The sequence below is a fragment of the Homo sapiens genome, chromosome 5, assembly GCF_000001405.40.
Source record: "Homo sapiens chromosome 5, GRCh38.p14 Primary Assembly".
Classification (NCBI taxonomy): domain Eukaryota; kingdom Metazoa; phylum Chordata; class Mammalia; order Primates; family Hominidae; genus Homo; species Homo sapiens.
Window position 1 is genome coordinate 145782739 of NC_000005.10, and position 27687 is coordinate 145810425.

Consider the following 27687-nt stretch of genomic DNA (forward strand, 5'->3'; position numbering starts at 1 on the left):
GTTTGAATTACCTCTGATGCTCTTAAATCCCTAGTTAGCTTAAACTACTGCATTTTGATGCAGGGCTTAAAGACTATTTGTCAGACAGAAAAATCTTGGTTAGACACTGAAGGAAGGGAGAGAGAATTTTTTTTAAAAAGTCATACAATTGCCTAATTGAAAATGACCTACCCAGTTAAGTCTGATTTTACAGAAGATGTTAGTGAAGCTCAGAGCAACTAGCTCAAGCAACACAGCCCTCAGAGAGCGGCCAAGACAGGGCCAGAGCCCAGGTCTCCTGACTCCTGGCTGGGTTGACAGGCATCTCACCGCACTGTGTGGAGAGGCCCTTTCTCCCATCACTGTGCTCTAACACATCTGGAGCTCAGAAAACCACTTACTTCATTTCAGGCAAGAGCTTGACTTCCGAGATTTCATCTAGTTTCATAGAAGGCAACGTCCCAGAATTTCAGCTGGTAAACCAACCAAGAATTCCCAAAAGCTTTACCACTTAGCAAAGTCTGTTACAACCAGGATGAATTCAAATGAGCCATCAAGGGATTGTGGATTCCCAGGTTTCACAGTCAAGGTAAAGGCATTGATTTAAACTCAGTAGAAGGAACAAAAAAATGTATCACTTACAGAATACTCATTTCCACAAAGCTGTTTTCCCTGCAAAAGCTATGTTTCATCAGACGAAAACTCTAGAGGTAATAGTAGTAGCAGGGCTGATGGGGAAGGAGATGTGTAAGAATACAGCAGCTACTATGATATACCTGGTCTAGAAATAAGCTGTTAAAAATCAGAATTCTTGGTAATATTCTCAGGACAGCTAATGAATAAATATCAACTAAATCAATCTATCTGAGCACTCAAGGGTGGGATTAAAAAGTATTATCAACAGAGGTAAATTTGAACTGGGAAATAAACCCTCTGGAATAGGGAAAAAATATTTCATCAGTTTTTTCATGTGGTTCAAGTAACAAAGAATCTTGAAAGGGTTCACATGAACAAGCAGGAAATGCAAGTCTCCGATATATAGTCAGTATACTATCACACCCTGTTCTTATATCACACTTGTGACTTCTCCTTATTCTTTTGAACGACGGTTTTATGCTCTTTTCCTCTGTCTTGGAATTACTGAATTTTGAAATATCCACTGTTTTTTAGAATTGTGACTACCCGTGTATGTGTGTTTCCTGAACAGTAAGTTCACAGATAAAGAATTGAGCACCTCAGAGCAACTGGTCCAAGGTAGGATATATGAAAGGCTTGGAGGGGGGCTGGGGCATGGTGGTTCACACCTGTAATCCCAGCATTTTGGGAGGCTGAGGTGGGCAGATCACTTGAGGCCACAGGTCCGATACCAGCCTGGCCAACATGGCAAAACCTGGTCTTTACTAAAAATACAAAAAAATTAGCCGGGCATGGTGGTGCACACCTGTAGTCTCAGCTACTTGGGAGGTTGAGGCACAAGAATTGTTTGAATCTGAAAGGCAGAGGTTGTGGTGAGCTTAAAAAAAAAAAAAAAAGAAAAGAAAAGAAAAAAAATTCATGGAGGTGGACTAAAGTCAAACAACTAGTTAATGGCAGAATCATTAACTTTCAGTAGTCTTCAAAGTAGATATCAGAAGACAAGACCTAACAATTTTGTTTTCTTCTCAACAATTTTATGAAGTGAGATTAGCCTAATTTATTAATGATAAATGGAAGTTTTAAGAAGTTAAGTCTTTCATTCAAGTTATACAGCCAGAATATGGATGATATCCAGTGCCAAATTTGCGGAATTCTCTTGGGAGAAAATTTGGCAATAAGCATGAAAGGTCTTAGCTCAGAAAGCAACAAGAAATGTACACAAATATTTATATGGCATTTATATTCAAAAATTTATTCCAATATTATTCATAATAGTGAAGAAAAATAGAAACCAACAATAACAGCTATTATGCCGATGGAATATTATGCAGGCATCAAAAATCATGTTTCCAAGGAATATGTAATGACACAGAAAAAAATGTTTATAAATATGTCCACAAATGAAATAGTTGGGCTAAATAATCCCAACTTTGTTTTTTTTTTTTTTAAAAAAACATACATATACATACATTTGCAAACATGAACAGACATATAAAAAGATCTACGTCAAAATGTTAAATGTGAATACACTGAGTATTAGAATTATGAATGATTTTATCTTACTTGCACTTTAATTAAAAATTGAAAATGAATATTTAGTAATTTTATAATTCAAGAAAATGATAAAAATATATCATTTTTAAAAGAAATACCACAAACTTGCCCTGTACCACGGTATATCTAAAATGTTTGTATTTAAAAGGCTATTACCTATAAAAATATACTTCTTAGCAGAGAATGTCTCTTAAAGCTGACAATGATTGAGGTTTTACTATGTGCCAGGCATATTTCACATATGTAACCTCACTTAATCCTTTAAAAATCCTATAAAATGGGGTTTATGATCACTTCATTCTAGAGAGAGAAAGTTTAGGGTCTGAGAGAGAAAAGTGTGACTTGTGGGAAGTGAGAAAGCCTAATCAAGGGCCAAGAAGCTTTTCTCTAAAGCTTCATACACAATCCCTATGTTAAACATACAGACAAAACTTTGTTTCACACTGAACAATCTTTCTAAAGGCACAGCATACTATGCTTTTAGTTCAGAAGTTGATATTTGGTATACGATTGTTAAGATGTCTATAATTTGCTTTAAAATACTTCAGCACATGATGTATACTACGATAGTATGAGTGTTAGTTCAAGTTATACACTAGATACAGCTAGATGCCCTAATGCAGGCCTCACATGCCAGAGGCTGTCTGTGAGCATTCTAATCAGCAACCTCGCTCTCCAGAAACTTCAGTCAGACACCAAAGGCTTTGATTATTAGCACAAGGAATGTTAAAATTGCAAATTTTCACTGGTAAAAATAATGGCTTGTTAACTAGCATAATGGATATTAGAAATGGACTGTCATTAACTCAATGAATGGAACTTAAGATACGTGGATTAGCTCAAAATTCTAAACAAGCACCCATCCTTGTGCCATCAGGGTGTAAGTCTCTATCTAGCAAGACCTTCACCCTCCAACTTTAGGGATGGCATCCACAGTTTATGCCTAAATGGTCCCAGGGCCAGCTACTATATCAGAAGATTCTGGTTACCTGATGCTCTCTATAAAATAGCTGAATCCTGCCTTTGGAATATTGTCTGCTGTGCCTTCAGTGAGCTGTTCATGCAATTCATGGCCTGAGCACCCAAAAGGATGAAGACTTAAACTTACAGAACAGGTCAACTATTTTGTGCCTACTTATAAATAAATAACTAATAAATGTCACAATATATGTGTCACAGAAATTTCCATAAACTGTTAATGAGGTTTCTGGGATGCAGCTGACCCTCAGCAACCTCTCATTATAATCAATACCCAGTATATATCAAAAAGAACTTAATACTTATGCCTACAACTCAGCATACAGGTTGGATAAGGTCAGTGTGGCAGGCAGCTTCTGATGTGGCTCCTAGTGACCTGTGCCTCCTGGTATTTATGCCCCTGTGTAATCTCCTTTTTAGTGTGGGCTGTGACTTTCTTCTAATGAAAAGAATACAGAAAATAAAAGGATGTCACTTCAATTAGTTTATAAAAAACTGTGATATTTCACCTTGGTAGCACTCTCTTGCTCTCACGCTCACTGCCACATTCTGAGATCATCTATACAGAGGCCCATGTGGCAAGGAACCAAGGGAGGCCCGCTGAATCCTACCAGCAACCATGTGAGTTTGGAGATGAAGCTTCCCCACTGAGCCTTCAGATGAGTTTGCAGCCCCAGCTAAAACCTTGATTACATCCCTGTGAAACCTTGAAACAGATCCAACTAAGCTGTGCCTAGACTCCTAATCTACAGAAACAGAGGTAATACATATGTGTTGTTTCAAGCTGCAAAGTTGGGGCAATTTGTTACACAGCAATAAATAACTAATACAGTTACTTTACAAAAATAATGCCACCAAATGTCTCAAGGTTTTTCAAATGCCTACTTGAACTACATTTGTAGTATCTCCACTTTTTTCTTGAGTCCCAGGAAATTATCTCCCACTACTAAAATGGATTTCTATAAGGCTAAAATAACAAGCATACACCCCAAGGAAACTGCATATTCTGATTTCTTTAGCTGTAGCATGTCTAGGCCAGACCTTCTTAAAAGCGATGTTCAAATTGTTTGACTTGCCCGCATTGTTTCAGTGACAAATATTTCACACACTGTTGAATTCAATCGTTCTCTGCTTCAGCCTCCTGATCACAATAAGAATAATGATGGAACTAATAATGGGGCCTTGCCAGGAGAGTGGCTGAAATAACAAATTATTTCATCACACATTGAAAATGTATTTCACAAACTCAAAAACAAAAAACAAAACAAAACAAAACAAAAAACACGTCTATGCGATTGCATAATGAGAGCTCTGCATTTCCACAGCATTTGTAGTACTCTCTAAAGATTCAGACAAACTAGGCTAAAAAAAGAATGCTTGCATAACAAGACTGTTATCACCCATGTTATCTCCTAAGCCTCCCCAGAGAAGCAAAATGTGGAATTTGTAAGCAACTATGTGGGGGTTCACCAAAACGTTCTTTTGCTTTGCGTTTGGAAATTTTTGGTTTGAGATTTTTGGGGAGTGGGAAGCTAGCAATTTTTTCACTTCACACGGAAGATGTCAATTTGGAGGAGTAGAGACAAAAGCTCCCTAAATAGTATGCCCAAAATAGTAAATGGCATGCTGTCTCAACAGGGCAATATTGAAAAGAGGCAACAATTTTTTTTTTTTTGACATAGGGTCTCACTGTCACCCAGGCTAGGGTGCAGTGGTGCCATCACAGTTCACTGCAGCCTTTACCTCCCAGCTCAAGCAATCCTCCCACCTCAGCCCCCGGAGCAGCTGGGATTATAGGCATGCAACAACATGCCCAGATAATTGTTTTGGTTTTCTGTAGAGACGAGATCTCCCTATGTTGCCTATGCTGGTCTCAAACTCCTGAGCTCAAGTGATCCTCCCACTTCAGCGTCCCAAAGTGCTGGGATTCCAGGCATGAGCCACCACACCCTGCTATCTTCACTTTTTATGTATAAATTGAACATAATATAGTATATGAACAAATAATCAGTCTATCTATGGTCTTAAAATTTCATGGTGAAAAGAGCAATTAGGGGAAAATTGTCTAAAAAGGCTCCTGAAGGGAGTAATAATGAAAAAAGGGTTGAGAAACACTGACCTAAGGAAAGCCCTCCCAAACTGGTGAGCACCTGCAGAGCATCAGTGATGTCTCTGTTTCCTCCTCTTTGGGTCCCTGAGGTCTGAGATCATGACTTGACTCTGGCCTGGGTGTCTTCCAGCTCTGCTTCACACAGTGGTTGGGCCATCTTCCAAGGCTGTAGAAATGTATATGAAGCCTTTCATGTGTCCCAGATTTCCACCAACCACTATTTTCCTTCAGATCTTTATCTTTTTGATCTGCTTTCTGAATGTACTTACTTATCTCAAGGCCTATTAAAAGCTAACTACATATTTTAGCATGACTTGAGATAAGCAAATACTTGTCTTCAGCATGTTTTTGGCACTTCCAACATACTATCTTCTATTGGCCACCACGGGTCAAAAGTGTCCACCAGCACATGAAATCTAGGCTGAGAGAGACTATGGCACGGTCAAGAGATGAGTGAATGCCTCCCAGGTTGAGGAACACACTGTATGGCACACCCACCAGTGCTCATTGGCTGATGGTATATATTCATTCTTCTGTATAGAATTGAGAAAAATTCACAGAAATGGTATACCCCATTGCTGTCATGCACACAGATAGACAACTATCTCAAAAGAAGTGGCCCACTCTCGCCACTTCTATTCAATATAATACTGGGAGTTTTGCTAGAGCAATTAGGCAAGAGAAAGAAATAAAAGGCACCCATGTAGAAAAGAAAGAAGTAAAATCATCTATGTTTGCTGGCAACATGATCTTATATATATATATAAAACCCTAAAGACTCCACCAAAAAATGGAACTGATAAATGAATTCAGTTAAGTTGCAGGATACAAAAATCAACATACAAAAATCAGTATCATTTCTATATGCTAACAACAGACTATCCGAAAAAATTAAGAAATCAATCTCATTTATAGTAGTTACCAAAGAAATACTTAGGAATAAATTTAACCAACGCAGTAAAAGATCTCTACACTGAAAAGTATAAAACATGGACAAAACTGAAGACACAAATAAATGGAAAGACATCCCATGATCATAGCTTGAAAGAATTAATATTGCTAACTTATCCATAATACCCAAAGCAATCTACAGATTCAATGCAATCTCTATCAATATTCCAACAACATTTTCCACAAAAATAGAATAAGCAATTCTAAAATTCACATGGAACCACAAAAGACCTCAAATAACCACAGTAATCTTGAGTAAAAAGAACAAAACTGGAAGCATCACACTCTCTCTTTTCAAAATACATTACAAACCTATAGTAATCAAAATGGCACAATACTGGCAAAAAACAGACACATTGAATAATGGAATAGAATAGAGAGACCAGAAATGAACCTGCGCATTTACAGTCAATTGATTTTCACGGAAGATGCCAAGAACACACAATGGGAAAAAAACCAGTCTCTTCAATAAATGGTGCTGGGAAAACTGAATATCCACATAGAATAATAAAATTGGACCTGTATCTCACACCATATACAAAAATCAACTCAAAATGAACTAAAGACTTAAACATAAGAACTGAAGCTATAAAATTACTAGAAGGAAATACAAGGGAAAAAATCCATGACATTGGTCTGGGCAATGATTTTTTGGATTTGGCCTCAAAAGCACAGGGAACAAAAACAGACAAATAAGATTGCATCAAACTAAACAGCTTATGCACAGCAAAGGAAACAATTAATGGAGTGAAGAGACAACCTGCAAGTTGGAAGAAAATATCTACAAATCACACATCTGATATGGGGTTAATATCCAAAATATACAAGGGATTCAAACAACTCAATTGCAAGAAAACAAATAACCCAATTAAGAAATGGGCAAAGAACCAGACAGCTATTTCCCACAAGAAAATATACAAATGGCCAACAGGTATATGAAAAAAAGAAGGTTCAACAGCACCAATCATTAGAGAAATGTAAATTAAAACCACAATGAGATATCACCTCATACTTGTTACAATGGCTGATATCAAAAAGATGAAAGATAAAAAGTGTTGGCAAGAATGAGGAGAAAAGGATGCCCTTGTACACTGTTGGTGGAAATGTAAATTGGTATACCCATTATGGAAAACTATATGAAAGTTCCTCAAAAAACACAAAATAGAACTACCATATGATCCAGCAATCCCACTTCTGGGTATTTATCCGAAGAATTGGGAATCAGTATGTCAAAGAGACAGCTGAACTCTCATGTTCACTGCAGCATTATTCACAGTAGCCAAGATATGGAATCAACCTAAGTGTTCAACAATGGATGAATGGACAAAGAAAATGTGGTATAGTACACAGTGGAGTACTAGTCAGCCTTAAAAAGAAGCAAGTTCTGTCATTTGTGACAACATGGATAAACCTGGAGAACATTATGTTAAGTGAAATAAGGCACAGAAGGACAAATACCTCATATGTAAAATCTAAAAAAGTTAAACTCATAGAAGTAGAGAGTAGAATGGTGGTTATCTGAGGCTGGGGGAGGTGCGAGAGAATAAGGAGATGTTGGCCAAAAGGCAAAAAGTTTCGGTTAGACAGGAGGAATAAGTTTTTAGATCTATTGTATAGCATGTTGACTATAGTTAATGAGAATATATTGTAAATTTCAAAATTGCTAAGAGTAAACTCCAAATGATCTCACCACAAAAAATGTTAAATATGTGAGGTGATAGATATTTTAATAAGCTTGAATTAATAATTCCACATTGTGTGTGTGTGTGTGTGTGTATATATATATATATATATATATATCAAAATGCCACATTGTATCCCGTAAATATATACAATTATAATTTGTCAATTAAAAATAAAAAATTAACTTAAAAATTTAAAAAACCTTTTAAATGAGTCCTCAAAATATTAAACATATAATTAATCCAGCAATTTCACTTCTGGGTATATATATATATATATATACCAAAAAGAATTGGAAGCAGGGACTCAAACAGATATTTATATACCCATGTTTATAGCAGTATTATTCACAATAGCCAAAAGGCAGAAGCAACCCAACAATCCACCAATGGATGATGTCTGTTTTCACACTGCTAATAAAGACATACCAGCCACTGAGTAATTTATAAAGGAAAGAGTTTTAATTGACTCACAGTTCCACATGGCTAGGGAGGCCTCACAATCATGGCAGAAGGCGAATGAGGAGCAAGTCACGTCTTACATGGTGGCAGGCAAGAAAGCTTGTGCAGGGGAACTCCCATCACTACCAAGAGAACAGGATGGAGGAAACAGCCCCCATGATTCAATTATCTCCACCTGGCCCCACCTTGACACGTGGGGATTATTACAATTCACGTAAGATTTGGGTGGGAACATAGCCAAACCATATCAGGTGACTAGACAAACAAAATGTGATATATACAAACAAGGAAATATTAGCCATAAAAAGAAAGGTAAGTCTGACACATGCTACAATGCAGATGAACACTGAAAACATATGCTCAGTAAAATAATGCCAGTCACAAAAAGACAAATACTGTATGAGTCCACTTATATGACATAACCAAACTAGCCAAGTTCATAGAGACAAAAAGTAGAATGGTGGTTGCCAGGGGCTAGGAGGTGAATGGGATAGGAAGTTATTGTTTAATGGCTAAGGAGTTCCTGTTTGGGAAGAGAAACAAAGTTCTGGAGATGGATGATGGTGACGGCTGCACAACAATGTGAGTGTACTTAATGCCACTGAACTGTACACTTAAAAATGGTTAAAATGGTAAATTTTATGCTACGTATATTTTGCCACAATAAAAAACAAACTTTTAATATTATTTTTAATACAAAGGTATTTTCAAAGCAAATAACAATACATCTGCAGTACACAGAAAAGCAGAAAAGAGGATACGTCATTACAGTAAAAATGGGTGAAACGTTAGCTAACACACTGTCAACCTGCAAGGCACTGTGGAGTTTAGGTCAGCTGTAGTGTAGACGACAGATGCTGAGGCCTCTGAACAGAAGGGAAGATATTCACTTGCCCCTCATAGGCCGTTTCAAGTAGCATGGCCGCATTCCTCTGGCCCATTCCAAGCTCCTCTCTTGTAACTGAGCTCCCTACGTTTGCATTCCTCCATCATTACCGTGTATCACATCGCCTCACTCTGGTTATATCAAGAACACCCAGCTTGCCCCACGCAAGTGGCTTAAGTGCACAGATCATGGATGCAGCACTGTGATGCAGAAATCAAGAGCACTCTGGGGTCAGACAAGCTTGGGTTCAAATCCCCGGTTCACCATTTACTAATTCTGTGACCTTGAGAAAACTACTTTGCCACTTGGGACCTCAGTTTCCCTATGCATAAAATGAAAATAACATTTCCTATTTCATTATGTTGTCCAGAAAATCAGATAAGGTAATGCGTGCCAAGGACAGTGCTTGGCATCTACTAAGCTCTTGCAAGCACTAGCTGTTATTTTAATATGCTTCTCAGCACTGATCATAGTGCTGGCACTGAACACCAAACAAGGCTCAATAAATTTTCTGCATCAGCAGATGTTCATTCATTGTCTGTCCTGCTTTCCACCCTGAGCTAGATGTCCCAGAAGTAAAGCTACTTAAGGCACAGTCTCTATCTTGTGAATTATGTCTTAATTCTTACTTGTGTCTCCAGCATTCTACCCAATGCCTGGCACATAGGTGACACCCAAAAAGTGCTGGTGGAATTGAACTTAAAATCTAGTTGTCTAGACTGTATGTGTTTACATGAATTTGAGGGAGAGAAAAAAAAACATATAACCATAAAAAGAAAATATGTTAAAGAAGTATGTGGCAGTGATTTTTCTTAATTCTTGAAAACTAAAACATATTTTGTATATTTGACCTGTGTTTACTAAGTTACAGAAAGTTATCAAACTTAGTTTTCACATGTACCTGTGGGAACACATTAAAATCCCCATTTTGCAGACAATTAAACTGAGAATAGGGAGGGCCAAAGTGATTTGTGCTGGGTCACAAAGGTGAGGAGAGCAAGTCCAGAGGACTGTAAGTTCAGAACCACTCCGTTTCAAGGATACATCTGTCAACTTGGCTGCCAAACGGAAATCCCAGTTCTCCTGCCCACAGATTTCCACTCCAGGAGGAAGGAGGGGTCTGACTGGTGTGTGAAAAGTCAGCATTTGTGACACAAAGGCTCCCAAATTCCAAGTTACCTCCCTTTAAGAGTGATGAAGGAAGGAGAAAAAAGCAATTGAGCCAGTCCCCAGAGGCACAGAATACGTATGACCTCAGCTTGGGGATCCATGGCTAAAGCCAGCTTTTAATTTACAAACATAAAAATATAAAGTTTGTGAGTACCTAGTTTTGATTTTTCTGGAAAAAAATAGATATCAGATCCCATCATTACCACTACTAAACAGACTCAGCAATAAGTCCTAAAGTGAAAATAAAGTCACCTAAAACACTCTTATGGTGACTTCCACAGAAACCATTTATGCAGGCTCAGCTGTGAAGGTTTATCAGGAAGTCAGGCTGATACCAGAAAAAATGACCACTTGGATAAAACAAAAAAGACACTCAGGCATAAATGGCTCCTAAAATCAAAAAGCTAATTAAACGTGGCCTCTTCGAAAAGAAAAAGTAAGTCAGAAAAGGCAAAAGCTAGCAGGAAAAATATATTCTTACTTCTAAGCATAATAAATGAGAATAAAAAGGAATCACTTTAAGAAGTTGAAGTCACCTAATTATTTCCAGGTAATATTCATCAGAAACCAACTGTGAACCTCCCTGGGCATTTCCTTTCTACTCATTCCCACACGAATGGATGGAACACTGTCCAAGGTACTATAGGTTGGGAGAAGGGAATAAGAATTAAGGTGAATGAAACCACTTCTGCCATCAAGGAACATAAAATCAAAGTGGGATCATGCTAGAAACTTTGGGGAGTATATATCCGCCCCACAACCCCTTCCCCTGAGAAGTGGCCCCTAACCCTGGTCCATGTGGTCATGGCAGAGAATGAGCCATAACTGGACAACTTGACTTCCACCTTCCTGGTGGTGCCTGACCTATAGGAGGCCAACGAGAGTCCCTCCCAAAGAATTAATAAAGAAAAGAAATAAGCTATTTTATTATTAGTGAGAATTCTATTAATATATAATATGTATGCTTGACAATGGAGGCCCATGTCCCATTATATAGCCTGGGGAGCAGAGAAAACCAGACTACACAGAAAGAGTGGAATAAAATAGACACATAGTCTTACAGACAAGAGCTGAAGAAGGAATACCACTTGGTTGCTGGCAGTGTTCAGTTCCCAGTGAAGACCTTTCTGAAGGCTGCCAGCCTCACCACCCTTGTACACTTAGAATGAGCTAGCCTGAAGTGGTTTCTGTTACTTGCAACCAAATAGTCCTAATAAATCCAAAGGGAGTAAGACCACAACACAAATTCATCTAACAAACACAAGTATTAGTGAAGTTCGTGATGCTAGGTAGGCAAGGATTTCACTTCATTCATCTGAGGGCTGCACAGTAAAGTGGCAAGAGGGAACTCTTATTGACAAAAGATAGGGATTTAAGTCCAGACTCCACCCTTTGCTAGTTCTGTGACCTTGAAGAAACACATTTAGCCCACACTTAGCACAGTGCCTAGTGCAAAGCAGGTACTCAATATATATCTGTAAGAGGAAGGAAGCAGGGAAAGCAGTTACCACGTATCGGGTATGCTTATCTTTTAAGTCAAGTCATTTCTCATTAATGAAATGGGAATTCTCATTCTCATTAATAAAATGGGAATAAAAATTTCACTTTATGTGTCTCACAGGATCAGAATGTACATAACCACTGTGCAATTAAAAGTCATTATTAGGTTCATCAGATTAATTGATGCATCAAATACAGACCAACCTCAGTTAATGAAATAATATTTATCTGAAATAGGGGTTAGCTATACCCTACAAGCCAAATCCAGCCCACCACCTGTATTTATATGGCCTGCAAGAATGGTTTTTATAAATGAACATTTGCAATCAATTTGATAATAAGGAACACGAATTTTGAACGCTGCTTCACCTAAATGTTATCCCTCCCCCTCAAAAAAATCCCATTCTTCTAGTGAATATAGCTGTATTATAAAAAAATTCAATTTATTATTACTATTATCATCATACAGAGTTTAAAGGATGCACAAAAAGTCAACTCAGTAAGAAACATGGCAATGAAATTACTTTTCTCATCAGTTCCACTATTTTTAGAATGCAATGCTGCAGAACATGGGAGTTTTTACAAACGCATAAATTGCAATATAGCAGAAAAATTTGCAATAATGTCTGAGTGAGTAAAGGTGACATAAGATCTTCCGGAAGTTCAACTACTCCCTTCAAGTCCAGGTTTAAAGAGGCTGGACCAGTCTGAATATGTGCCAGGAACCACCTCAACTGGAGCAAGAACACATCATCAATCACAACAGTATGTCTATGGTGTACAGAACGGTACTGAATATTCATTCACCGCCCTCAGCCTCCCAGATGAACACCTCCTAGTACAGGTTCATCCTTGAACCTAGACATGCAAAAATGAAAACAAGGGTCCATTGCCAGGAAGTCTCTGAGGGTCATAACAATGGTTCTTTACACCAGCGGTTAATTCTATCCCACAAAACAAAATGAGGTAAACTTATACAAAAAGTCCTGAGTAAAATCTGGAAATAAATGAGTATAATTATCATCGTAATTAATAACAATAATAAAACACTTAGGAGCAACTGCTTTATACTGAGCACTGCAATAAGCACATAAAAATGCATAAGCAATGGGTTTTGACATGAAGTTTTAAAAATAATGCTATTAAGGAAAGAAAATAGAAGATATAAATGTTATATGGAATACCATAGAGGACAGATTAAAATGGAAAAGCTCTACTTAAAATAGAGCACACAGGACCTTAGAACTCCAACATGGCTTCTGAATCACTTTCATGGAAGCCTAAGCTCCCTTGAGAATAGAGTTTGAAAACTATAAGAGTGGACAATTGGGGTCTCTGTATTTTCCTCATCCATAATATTAGGACAACAATAACAGCTCCTGCAAAGGTTTGTGAGGATTCAATGAGTTAATAATACAAATTCTTTTAGCAGTCAGTAGTACATAGTAAGTGCTCAATAAATATTAACTATCATTATCTTTATTAAATAGTTGTCATCATACTATACATTATTATTCATTCTGATTATTTCTTTTAATTAGATTATAAGTATGCTCCAAATTTTCACATACTCTTCATTGGCATATTTTTAATTTAATGAGCCATAAATGCCACTTTAGTTTTACTTTGATTTGAATTTATGTAATAATTTTGAGGTTGATTATTTTTGCATATATTTGTTTATTAACTATATGTTTTTCTCATTATGTCTGCTCATGAGTCTTATTCAATAACCCTATTGGAACTCCTATTGTTTTTTAAAATTAATGTTGGTTCAAAGCAGAAATATGGTTACCTTCTGGGCTCCCTGTCGTAAGAATGTGCTGGCAAAAGTTTCTAAAACACAGTTGAGAAATCCAACCCCTGTGATTGAAATCCTGCCTCTTTGAATGAACTCTGTCCTGCAAAAAAAACAAAAAACACATCTTTGATGTCATTCTATGCTTGGATATGTAAACGACAGACATTTCTAGCTGCATAATTACCACTTATAATCAATAAAAAATAATATCCTTAATAATTCAATAACTACCTATTATAAGAAGATTTTGTTAAAAGTAACTTATAGTTTATATAATATTAACAGTCTTATTCAAATTAAAGAATATTCATTTCATGCTGCAAAATCTCTTTTTAAAATTGAGTCTGAGGTAATTATCAATGATATGACCTTAGGTAAATTATTTAGACTCTCTATAACTCGGTTTCCTCACATGTAAAATGGGAACGACCATAGTATCTTTCTTTTACAACTACTGTGGCAAGTAAATGAGTTATCACACATCACAGGAATATGAAGAGTTCCTAACACATAAGCATTTACTAAATGTTAGCTACTATTACTAAAGAGAGTCAGATAGAGACAAGATTGGAAAGCCAGACACCTGGAATGACTTTTTCAATCCTCGATTGGAGAAGGGGTGAGACAGAAGAGATATGTCACCATCTCTACCAATTTTCATTACCAAAATTATATCAATATTAATTATCTTCATGTCATAAAACAGAGATCTAGATTACACTTAAGAGTGATAGAAGTAAGATGGCTGAATAGGAAGTCCCAAGCCTTCATTACCCTGAGAGACAATGACTTAAGAACAATATACAAACCAAATTGCCTTTATGAGAACTCCCTCAAGAATTAGCAGCACCCAGGTAGGTGCAAAGCCAAGAAGAGCCACATCAAAGCAGATAAGAAACTTTGTTGCTTTTACCTATGATAGCTCCCTCCCACCCAGCATAGTGTAACGCAATCAAGAAAAAACTCCCAGCTTCTGGCTTCTCCCTCAGTAGGGATAGAAAAGTGCTAACTGTGCATCCAACATCCTGTCTTTAAGAGGGGCATGACTCAGAGTGCTAAAGGAAATGGCAATATACTTTCAAAAGCAAGCATGGTGGCTTGTTACACTAGAGAGCCTGCAGTACCTCAGACAGACAACAAGGGTAACAAAAGATCATGGGCTCTTGAGAACAGGGGCAGTCCTCTGTGACTGGGAAATTACACACAAGTCCAGAGAAGATGCATCCCTCAAAAAGGTTTGAGAGGCCCCCAGAATCTCAAGCTAGGCTGACTAGTGAAGGTCTTCCCTGTATGAAGCCAGTCCATAAGACTGGGAGAAGTGGCTGTTTTTTTATATACCCAAACCTCAACAAAAGATCACAATGCATGCAAAGAAACAAGGAAACATGGCCCAATCAAAGAAACAAAATAAATCTCTAGAAACCAACACTGAAGAAACAGAGATCTATGAATTACCTCACAAAGAACTTGAAATAACCATCTTAAAATGCTCCATGAACTAAAATAGACAACTAAATGGATCAGGAAAAATAAAGCGCAAGAATAAAATGAGACTATCAACAAAAAGAAACTATGAGAAAAATGAGAACCAAGCAGAAATTCCAGAGTTGAAGAATACAATAATGGAACTAAAACACAATTCACTAGAGTGGCTCATTCAATAGCAAACTTGATCAAGCAGAAGAATCAGCAAACTTAAAGATAGGTTATTTGAAATTATTGAGTCAGGAACCAAAAAACAAATAAAAAGAATAAAGAAAAGTCAAGAGAGCCTAAGGGACTTATAAGACATCATCAAACAGATCATTATCCACATTACGGGAATCTCAGAATGAGAAGAGAGTGAGAAAGAAGCAGAGTGAGTGCCTATTTGAAGAAATAATGGCTGAAAATTCCCCAAATTTGAGGGAGGAAATTGGCATACAAATTGAGAAAGCTCAATGAACTTCAACTAGGATAAATACAAAAAGACTCACATCTGTGCAAATTAGTTCAACCATTGTGGAAGACAGTGTGGTGATTCCTCAAGGACCTAGAACTAGAATTACCATTTGACCCAGCCATCCCATTACTGGGTATATACCCAAAGGATTATAAATCATGCTACTATAAAGACATGTGCACACATATGCTTATTGCAGCACTATTCACAATAGCAAAGACCTGGAACCAACCCAAATGTCCATCAATGATAGACTGGATTCAGAAAATGTGGCACATATACACCATGGAATAGTATGCAGCCATAACAAAGGATTAGTTCATGTCCTTTGCAGGGACATGGATGAAGCTGGAAACCATCATTCTCAGCAAACTATCATAAAGACAGAAAACCAAACACCACATGTTCTCACTCATAGATGGGAATTGAACAATGAGATCACTTGGCCACAGAGTGGGGAACATCACACACCAGGGCCTGTCAGTGGGTGGGGGCCTAGGGGAGGGATAGCATTAGGAGAAATACCTAATGTAAATGATGAGTTGATGGGTGCAGCAAACCAACATGGCACATGTATACCTATGCATCAAACCTGCACGTTGTGCACATGTACCCTAGAACTTAAAGTATAATAAAATATATATATATATATAAAAGACTCACACCAAGACACATTATAGTCAAACTGTCAAAAGTCACAGAAAAAGGGAGAATCTTGAAAGCAGTAAGAGAAAAGCAACTCATCACATTAAGCTCCTATAAGATTTTCAGTAGATTACTTGGCAGAAACTTTGCAGGCAAGAAGTGAATGGAATGACATGTTCAAAATACTGAAATTAAAAAAAAAAAAAAACCTACAAGACAAAAATACTACATCCAGCAAAACTATCCTTCAAAAATGAAAGAGAAATTAAGATGTTCCTAAATAAACAAAAGCTAAGGCAGCTCATCACCACTACAGATTTGGATTACACTTAACTTTGCCTCATTCATTCATTTGTTCAACACACTGACTGCATGGCTACTATATGCTAAGTGCCATACTGACTGCTAGAGGCCCACAGAGAAGGAGATGGTCTCTCTCCTCCAGGATCTCACTGGCTAGTGGAAAAGGCACACAGGCAAGTGGGAGTGTGTCAGCAATTGGAGGTGAAGCATTCCATCAGAGGAAAACCACAAGGACCCAGGTAAGGAGGCGTGAAGGAAGAGAGATGTCTGAGGAGCCACAAGTTATCTAAAAATGCCCAGTACATGGTATGGGGCTTGATAAATTCTTCCCACAGGAATGACTGGAGCATAAGGTGGGTGTGGGAGATGTTAGGGTATGAGGCTGAAAGGATAATTGAAGACAAGATTGCAAATGGCCTCAGGCTGAGAAGTTTAGGCTTTACCCTGAAGGTAACGGTGGCTTGTCTTCTGAGGACACCAAGTACTCGGTATAGATTAATAGTCACATCTGCGCCACTGACTAAAACGCTCCTTGCCATTCCTTAATGCTTTTAGGCAATCTCCTATTCCCCATTTTCACCATAGTGCTTACACTGAATGAGTTCAATGAGCATTTGTTAAATGAATTAATTCAATTTCTTTGTAATAAAAAATATTCAAAACAGAAAACATTTTCTCAACCTTACATCTCTGTGGAAAGGAAATGAGAGCCACGTCTCCTGTATGTATAGTTGGCATGTGTTTATATGCATGCATATGTGAGCACATGCACTGAAACAATCAAAAAAAATCTGAGAAAATACTGGATCCAACAAACTGTCATTTTGGTCAAAATGGTTATTAAAACCTCTTAATTAGACCTCACTAATAGCAGTAGCCTCTACATTTAGATCATGCATACAATAAAAGGAAGCCTTCAGAATTCCTCTCTCCCTCTCCCCCTTCCCTTTCCTCCCCTTCTCTTACACACACACACACACACACACACACACACACACGAGTTATCCCATCCACTCTGACATAAATACCTTCCGTCTAAGCAGTTTTCACCCCTTAGATTTAAGCCTATTTAAAATGATTTGCTCATGTAAAACTATATCCTGGTGACACTAATCTTTCCTGTCTTTATTCTGGATTAGTCAGAATAGAATTTTACAGTGATTTTAATATTGAGAAATGAAAAGTTGAGCAGTCTCACACTCTTGGGAGAGATGAACTCTTCAGTCCTCAGTCCTGAAGGCAAATGTAGGTGAGGGATTAATAAGAGTCTCTTACATCATATTCTAACCAATATTTCTTTCTGCCACTTTTGGGAGAAGTAAGTCCTCAGAAAAGCACTCTTGGGTTTTGTCCACATATCAGAGAATAACAGAGCAGTAAAGCAGGGTCATGCCCTTGCCATCAACGAGATGAGAGTTTATCCTACTATATTTTAAGACTGCCAGAGAAGAAAATATTGCACTTTCCCTCAATAACTCATTGATAAAGCACATCAGACACTCTTCTTACTACAAATAGCTAACCTAAATCCCTCACACTAGAATTAATCTCCATTTAAGTTCTGTGCAAAACACAGCAGTTTACACAACACATGGTTTAATTTCAGCTTCATTTAAAAAAAAAGACAAGATGGATGGATGGATGGATGGACAGACGGACGGATGAACAGATGGACAGATGGACAGATGAGTAAGTGAACAGAGCTAAAATGTTAACATTAGGGCATTAGAATTATATATGTTATTTACTTGCTTTGGTCTTCTTTTTAGTAGTTTATAAATTTTCTATTTAAACAATATGTATTCCTTTGGCCATCACCAAAAAGTCTATTGAGTAATAAGACCCTGAGTATCACTTTTATGTAAATAAATAAAGCATTTTATAAATGGCTGTGCCTTTTAAACCATTTTCAGCAACAGTACCTGCTAACTTCTGGCTTGCTCTTCATTTAAAGTCTTGTTAAATCACCTCTTGGCTTTCCTTTTCCCACGTTATGTAATCTCGTTTCTTTGTAGCTTGTGTCTTAAGACTTTCTCCCCACCCTGTACTTGAAGTACATAGTGTTTCATCATCCTCAAGACATATAAGGATGACTCAAGTTTTCCTTCACCTGTCTTTCATCTCTGAGAAGCCTACAGAGAGGACTCTCCATCACATTTATGATATTACAAATTCAGGGTCATACTTACTCCTCGAAACCCAGTATCGTAACAATGTACATTCTATATCAGACATTGTATTACCTTCTGAGGTTGCTATGCTTTGAAAATTATTTTCTCTCTTTTATACAAGAAGAAACTATGGCAAAGAGATGTTAAATAACTTGCCCAAGGTCACATATCTTAATGTCATGAGGATTCATTAGCTATCACCTCAAAATCCTAGTCTTCCTCTGTTCTTAGTGAATGACACAACTGTTCTTCTAGTGCACGAGATTAGAAATCTTAGCAACATGTTAGATGGTCCCCTCTCTAGAATCAATCTAAACATCCAGTAAGTCACCTGATTGTGCTTATTTCGCTTGTAATGTCCCTCAACAATCCATGTTACTCTCTTCCTTGCTACTGCTACTGCCTGGGCTTGGCATAGAATTTTCTCTCTCCAGGACCATTGCAAAGTGCCTCCCAATGGGGTCCCTGTCTCCAGCATGAATTCCCTAAACTCCGTACTGACAAAAGTCAACTTCCTAAGCACACACTGATCATGTCACTGCCTATTAAGGCAGGGTGAATAATGCCCATGTGCTCAGTCTTATGTGTATAAGACTCATCCACAATGTTGCATGTAGTTGTTGTTTGTTCATTTTCATTGCTACATAGTGTTCTACTGATTGAAAACACTCCAAATTAACCACTCTACAGAAGATATTTAGAATGGACTCAGTTTATGGCTGTTATCAACAGTGCTGTTATGAAAATGCTTATAATGTAACCAGATATATATGTGCACAAGTATCTCTGGAGTATCCAGCAGTCAAGTACCTGGGCCATAGCACATGCACAGTTTCAACTTTAACAGATCAGGCCAAATGTTTTTCTAAATGGTTGTATCTATTTTTTCTTCATTGAATCCTCAATTTCAATTGCAAAGACTAGCGCACGGTAGGAAATCAATAATGCACTTAGGAAGGAAAGAATGAAGAGATGGAGGGAGTATAGGGAAGAGAAAGTGAAGAAGCAAAAGAAGGCAAGAAATATATAATACATCTCAATACTTGTGTCATGGAAAATGAACCAGATATCACAGGAGTTCCACTGGCTCAGGTCAACAGAAGACAACCTTCACCTGATTGTGGGATGAGCCACCTAAAAAATCTGAGAGTGAGGCTCACCCACTCAAGCAGTGCCTGTATCTGAGTCTCGTCTCTTGCTTTGTCCACTTAGTGGGTGTGATTCAAAACAAAACCCAATGGAACTGTGACAGAGAAAGCACAACTCAAATCCCAGAACACCTTTGTGAAAATGAAGGGCAGCTTATACAGTCATTTAAAAATTTGTTTTCTTCTGGATTTGAGAAAATAAAAAAGTTCAGGGGAAATATGGATCAGGAATTAATCCCCAGAGCACGCAGTCACCAGTGCTGAATCCTCAAAACGGCAGTTTCCGGGAAAGCAAAAGCTCTTAATGAGATCCTGTCCTTGAATTATTGACTGGTTAGGTATGGCAAATCTTGCCTAATTGTTTTCATGATGGGAATCTAATTAAAGTGTCTTTGAGGGGCAAAAAAAGCTTCCACAGATACTCTTGTTGTGATGACCTCAGTTCTAATCATGTTTTTAGCATTCTCCTGTAAGCACACAGAAATAAGGGTCCCAAAGGAAACACGGGGTCTTCAAGTCAGACTGCCCACTCACTCCTGACCAACTCCCTGGCTCTGCTGCTGCTGCAGAGACTTCTTGACTCACTGCTGCTCCAGGATGGCAGACTATGTAGTCTCTCCCATGCTGTCTGTCTGAACCCATTTACATAACTGCCTCCACAGAAAACCAATGCAATTTGCAGAGCTCTCAATACATGCTATGTAGTTTCAGCCTTAACATGAACATGTGTATTTATACGTGTAAAATCACACACACACACACTATATATACATATACATGCCTTTAAGACAGGGAACGAAGGCGCGGCTCCTGGAATTAGACCATTTACATTCACATCTTGTTTTAGCTTGCCTACCCACCCACGTAGTAAGTTCCTGAAGCTCTGTGAAGTTCGCTCTTCTCTAAAATGGGGTTAATAATACCTATTTCATGAGTTCTCACAAGGTTGAATAAGGCAATATGCGGAAAGCACTCAAAGTACTATGTGTAAGCACCCAACAAATGTGAGTAAACAGTACTAACATTAGTAATAATTATGCTGTTCTACTACAACCACCATTATTATTCCAATTTAAAGTAAAAAAAAAAAAAAAAAGCACAGTGGCTGAGAAGTCAAATAACCACTGTGAAAATCCAGCCCGAGGCAACTCCAAGACTCTGTAATTCATTAACTTCTAGGTGGAACTCAATCACCATAAACCACTTGGCAATGAAGGGAATGAACCCCTTCCCCACCCCAGTTTTAACATTCAAAGCTCTTGGAACAGAAGCCTCCCAACTTCCCAGACTCCTGTCCCACCCTGCTACCACACACTCTGCACTGTGAAACCAAACATTCTACCATCCTTCTCTGACCTCCTCTCCTAAGCGCTTTCCCTCTGAGCTGTTCTTCTAACCCATCCCAGAAACCAACAGGTTGTTACCTAAATTATTAACAATGAGCATCAACAGGGTATGCCATAACATTAAGAAATAAATTAAATGATAGAATCTCAGAGGCTCAGCAGGTTAGTACAAGTATACATTTCAGGACAGTCTGGCTCTGTCCCTTAAAACATGGTATTTAAGAATTGATTATTAATATACCTCACGCCTGAAATCCCAGCATTTTGGGAGGCTGAGGCAGGCATATCATGAGGTCAGGAGTTTGAGACCAGCCTGGCCAACATGATGAAACCCCATGTCTACCAAAAATATAAAAAATTAGCTGGGTGTGGTGGCATACACCTGTAAACCCAGCTACTCGGGAGGCTGAGGCAGGAGAATTGCTTGAACCCAGGAGGCGGAGGTTGTGGTGAGCCGAGATCACGCCATTGCACTCCAGTCTGGGCAGCAGAGCTAGACTCTGCCTCAAAAAAGAAAAGAATTGATTATTAATAATAACAGTTAACATATTTTCATAGCCTATTGTGGTAAAGCATTGTATTAAGTTTTTTATATACATGCCTTTCAGTTAATTCTCACAACAGCCTTATAAGGTATATAATATTAACCCGATTTTACAGATTAAAAAAACTGAGGTTCCAAGAGGCAAACTTACTTATGGTCATATAAAAATAAGTGACAGGGCCACTATTAACACAGTTAACCTCAGATCCCATGTCCCTTCCCACAACCCTATTACCTAGAAAAGTGTCTATTTAGTGAAAGCTTACGGGCATCCTGAGTTGATGGCGAAGCTTCAAATTACACAATGGTTTGTAAACTAGCTTAGGTGGAGGCTTGTCTTGGGATATCAGGCCCAACAGTGCATGCATCCCACTCACAGCTGGTGTTGATTGTCTGCCCAGTGGAGGAGGTAGACCCTGAGTCTAGATTGTCACCAGGTTCCTCTCTATTGTCTCGAGATCTTTAGGTTATTCTGCATTATCTCAATGCCTGGTTAATAAAGTATCATAATTTTTAATACCAAAATTCTTTATTTCCTATAGCTACAAAAGCTAACCAAACAAAAGAAAAAAATTTAACTGGCATCTGTGTTTCCTAAGAGCAGAAAATGCAATATAGTTTTGACACTAATCATACTTACTGAAGTCTCCCCTCCTCATCCCTTATTTCCATTGATCATTCTTCTTGCATAAATTCAGTAGAGCCTTCATATGAATTTTGACTTTTCAGCAGGTGTTTCCACTGAAAAGTGTTTAGCGTTTGCTAGATAGCCAGAATATTAACTGATCATGCTTTATAAGATTAACAAGAATTTTGCAAAAAATGAAGTTCCAAAAGGGCTGCCAGCTGTATGTATGCTTACCACTGGGACCATGGGATACTTACTATTTATCAGGGATTCCAAATCTAGCTACTCAACAGATTCATCAGGAGAACTTTAAAAATGTCGATTTTTCATGAGCCAGCCCAGGGATACAAAACTAGAATTACCAAGGTGAATCTACATTTTTAACTCCGCCCCTGAATCTTGGGCCAATATACAACTCAAAACAACTCAAAGGAAAAGGAGGATGAAAAACAATGTCAACAGGCATCCACTAAGATACAATTGTGTATCACCTAACAATGAAGATATGTTCTGAGAAATGCATTATTAGACAACTTCATCGTTGTGCAAACATCATAGAGTGTACTTGCATAAACCTAGATGGTATAGCTTACTACACACATAGGCTAGATGGTATAGCCTATTGTTCCTAGACTACAAAGCTGCACATCATGTTACTATACCGCATACTGTATGCAACTGCAACACAGTGGTATTTGTGTATCTAAACATATCTAGACATAGAAAAGGAACAGTAAAAGTGCAGTATAAAAGATATATACCATGTATATACCGTTTATACAAAATGAAACACACTTACCATGAATGATGGAGCCTGCAGTACCGAGGTCACTCTGCATAAGTCAGTGAGTGAGTGGTGAGTCAATGCAAAGGTCTAGGATATTACTGTACACTGCTGTAGACTTTATAAATACTGTACACCTAGGCTACACTAAATTTATTTTTAAAATTTTTCTTTTTTCAATAATAAATTAAACTTAGATTATTGTAACTTTTCTACTTTATAAACGTTTTCATTTTTAACTTTTTCACTCTTTTGCAATCACACTTAGCTTAAAACACAAACACATTGCATAACTGTACAAAAATATTGTCTTTTAAATTCTTATTCTATTAACTTTTTTCAATTTTTAATTTTTTACTTTTTAAATATTTTTGTTAAAAACACAAAAACACACACATTAGCCTAGGACTACACAGGGTCATGATCATCAATATCACTGTCTCCCACCTCCATATCTTATCCCACTGGAAAGTCTTCAGGGGCAATAACACACATGAAGCTGCCATCTCCTATGATAACAATGCTTTCCAGAATACCACTTAAAGTACCTGCCTAAGGCTGTTTAACAGTTAACTTTTTAAAATATTTTATAAGTTAGGAGTACACTTTAAAACAACAATAAATGGTATTGTAATTACATAAACCAGTAACACAGTCATTTATTACCATTTATATGGTTTGGCTCTGTGTCCCCACCAAATCTCATCTCAAATTGTAATTCCCATGTGTCAAGGGAGGGACCTGGTGGGAGCTGATTGGATCATGGGAGTGGTTTCCTCCATGCTGCTCTCCTGACAGTGAGAGAGTTCTCATGAGATCTGATGGTTTTAAAAGTGGCAGTTTCCCCTGCACTCTATCTCTCTCCCGCCACCTTGTGAAGAAGGTGCTTGCTTCTTCTTCACCTTCCACCATAATTGTAAGTTTCCTGAGGCCTCCCCAGCCATGTGGAACTGTGAGTCAACTAAACCTCTTTCCTTTATAAATTACCCTGTCTCAGTTATTTCTTGATAACAGTATGAAAATGGACTAATACACCATTATCAAGTATTATGTACTAATACATCATTATCAAGTATTATGTATTGTATACACTACACGTTTACACAACTGGCAGCACAGTAGGTTTGTTTACACTGCCATCACCACAAACACATGAGTAATGCATCACGCTATGATATTAAGATGACTATGACGTTACTAGCCAACAGGACTTTTTCAGCTCCAATACAATCTTATGGTACCACCTTAATATATGCGGTCTGCCATAGACTGAAATGTTGTAGGCAGTGTTGGACTGTATCTCAAAAGCTCCTACTTATGTCATCGAATGCTCTCTTAGCTAAACATGATTGTTTCTAGCTCAATTATCATTTCCCTTTTCAACAAAACAGCTTACTCTACTTTTCAAAATTAGTAACTTTAAACAGTCACCACACTTTGAAAACAACATTTAATCCCATTAGTTCTAACAACTTACATTTATTCGGTGCTTCATAAATGCGCAGAGCATGTCTATTTTTTATCTTATTAAGTCTTCACATCACTCTGTGAGGGAGCTCAGGCCAGCTTTATCCCTTTTCCCAGAGTCAAAGAGCACATAAAATGACCAAGCAGAAACAAGAAGAGAAGCTCCCATATTACTGGCTCAATGTAGAGATTCTCTCTACATGGCATTTCCTACCAAATCCTACTGGGCTTCCCCTGCACTTACCCTGCAGCAAATTCCTTCTCTTTTCCTTTCCTACCCACAACCCCCCGACCCTGCCATTCCCATTTCACCCCACAAGTACTGTCTGCATCCCCTTTAGCAGATTTTCATTCATCATTCATTAGACAGATGGTGATGAAGCATCTTCTGGGAGCCAAGCACTGTGCTACATACAGGGGATACAGTGGTAAACTGTGACCTCAGTGCACAGCCACCACAAAACAATTAGTACAGGATACAAAAACAGAGGAGACTCTGATTATATGAACACAAACATCAAATGGCAAATGAGTATCTTTTGGAGGGCAGTCTTATTAAGCCAAAAATAAAGCTCCAGCCCAGATCATTATATTTGTATAGAAAAGGCCTCACTGCTTGGCTCTTCATAATTGGTGGTGCTTTCTGCTAATTGTTTGATTATCCACTGGTGCACTGGAAATCAAGGTTAATATGAGCAGAGGGAGTCATGTTTTGGGACGAATACAGTAGTATTTATTTAGGCTATTAGTTAACTACACCCTCAAGCCCTTTAGCTCCAGGACTGGGCTTAGAAATAATTCCTAAGTCAGCAGAGCCAGAGTGTTTTAATACTTCAGTAAAAGCAGGTATGGAGGTCAATCAAAAATGCCAGTGCCAATCTTAAAAACACACAGAAGTCACCAGACTACCGAATTTACTCATGGAAAAAAAACCAAAAAGACTCTAGAGCAGGGTGAAAAAATGGGACACACCAAAAAATATGCCCAATTAGCCCTCAGCACATGCAAATTATACTATTTGTGATTTTTCAGATGAACACTTGAGACTTAGGATGTTTTAATCCAGAAATTCAAAAATAAAACATTTAAAAAGTTGTATCCATATCTATTAGAGAGTGAAGAATATTCATGAGTAATTTCAGTAGTAATGAAAATGTATTGACCCAACAATAGTGGCGGTCAGGCGCAGAGACTCACGCCAGGAATCCCAGCACTTTGGGAGGTCAAGGCAAGAGGGTCACTTGAGGCCAGGAGTTCAAGACCGGCTGGACAACACAGTGACACCCTGTCTCTACAAAAAAGAAAAAAAAATTAGCCAGGCATGGTAGCACACACCTATATCTCAGCTACTCAGAGGCTGAGGTGGCAGAATTGCTTGAGCCCCGAAGTTCAAGGCTGCAGTAAGCTGTGATTGTGTTACTGCACTCCAGCCTGGGCAACAGAGGGACCCTGTCTTACAAAAAAAAGGAAAAGAAAAAAAAAAGAACAGTTTCTCATCTCATTAATGTAATCTGTGTTTAAGTTTGATTTTGACTTGTTTTTTACTATATTCCACGAGGGATATATTCAAATTATTAACACACACTTCACTAGGCTGAGCTTTTTTTTTGCTTTTTTTTTTTTTTTTTTTTGAGACATGGTCTCTGTCACCCAGGCTGGAGTATGCAGTGGTGCGATCTGGGTTCACTGTAATCTCCGCCTCCCAGGCTCAAGCAATTCTTCCACCTCAGTCAGCCCCACCAAGTAGTTACGACCACAGGCACACACCACCACACCCAGCTAATTTTTGTATTTTTAGTAGAGACAGGGTTTCTCCATGTTGCCCAGGCTGGTCTGGAACTCCTGGGCTCAAGCAATCTGCCTGCCTTAGCCTCCCAAAGTGCCGGGATTACAGGCATGAGCCACCGTGCCCGGCCCCTTCATCAAGTCTTGACACACTGCCATGGCCCAGCTATGCCCGACCACTCTGCCCAGGAGAGGGTGGGCCAAATGGGGCCCTAAAATGGTTTTCATGTAATGAGGCTATAAGCACCTGGAGACAAAGAGCCAGCCTCCAACCTGGCCATGGGCCTATGCAGGGCCCTGGGAGAGCTTTTGCTTTTCCACCTTTCCCGGCCTCCCGTAGTGCTGGGATTACAGGCATGAGCCACTGTGCCCAGCCTGGCTGAGCATTTTTAATGTCAAAAATAAGCAGCAGAGGATAAGCAGAAGCTTTTAGACATAGAAAGCTGAAGACATGGCCATTGAGATGCTGTGCTGAGTGTAGAAGAATAATCTTGTTACTCAAATGCAGGAAAAACCCGGTTTGACAACATCGTGAATAGGTCTCCATTGATGGTAGTAACTTGAAGATACCAGAAAGTTTTTACTTAGCATAAAAACACATATGCTGGAAGAGTAAAGCTGAAGAAAATGCTTTTACTAGGTGATTATCTTCCAGAATTACATTGCAGTACTCGGATAAAGCAAATGTCAATTACTAAAACCAAATCAAATGCATGTCAATTATATTCCCACATGGCATAACAAATACCTATTAAGAGGAAAAGGGTAATAAATAAGAACCAGAAACTCACAAATACATATATTTTAAAGACCAGACACAAACACAAGAAATTAACAAACCTATCTCAGAACATAAGGTTTTGGAGGGTAAAAACCATGACTTTTTTCTTCCTTCTGAAAAGTCTAAAACAATACACTTCAGTCTCCATTTTCCAAAGTAAATGTGTGTGTCCTGCTCTACATAATAAAGCATATTCCCACAAAAGCTGACTTTAATTTTTTCCTCTTTTCAGATTAAGATTCACTTTTCTTTTTTCTGATTTGGCCCAAGTGTCTTAAGGCAAAATAGAGCATGAGCATGGCATCTCTCATTCTACACATTCAAGCAGTGCATCAGAGGACCCTATGTGATGCCCCTGAATCTACAACTGCCAAGATCACTGCATGAACCTAGAAGAAAACCAGAAATGTGAGCAGATTCAGTCCATGCCAATT

At 38.2% G+C, this 27687-nt stretch overlaps 1 protein-coding gene across 17 annotated transcripts in view; it reads right to left on the reverse strand.

Annotated features, from left to right (window-relative positions):
• PRELID2 (PRELI domain containing 2) overlaps positions 1-27687 on the reverse strand; it is a 606358-nt gene that overhangs the window by 553754 nt on the left and 24917 nt on the right. For 12 of the 17 annotated variants that reach the window (XR_007058586.1, XM_047416830.1, XM_047416828.1 and 9 more), the window contains one exon: positions 13704-13809. The exons of the other annotated variants lie outside the window; for them this stretch is intronic. Coding sequence is in view for 11 of the 12 variants with exons in the window: in XM_047416830.1 (XP_047272786.1) it covers positions 13704-13809 (106 nt within the window). In the remaining variant the exon portion in view is untranslated. The remainder of the gene's footprint in view (positions 1-13703; positions 13810-27687) is intronic. 17 annotated transcript variants of the gene reach the window in all.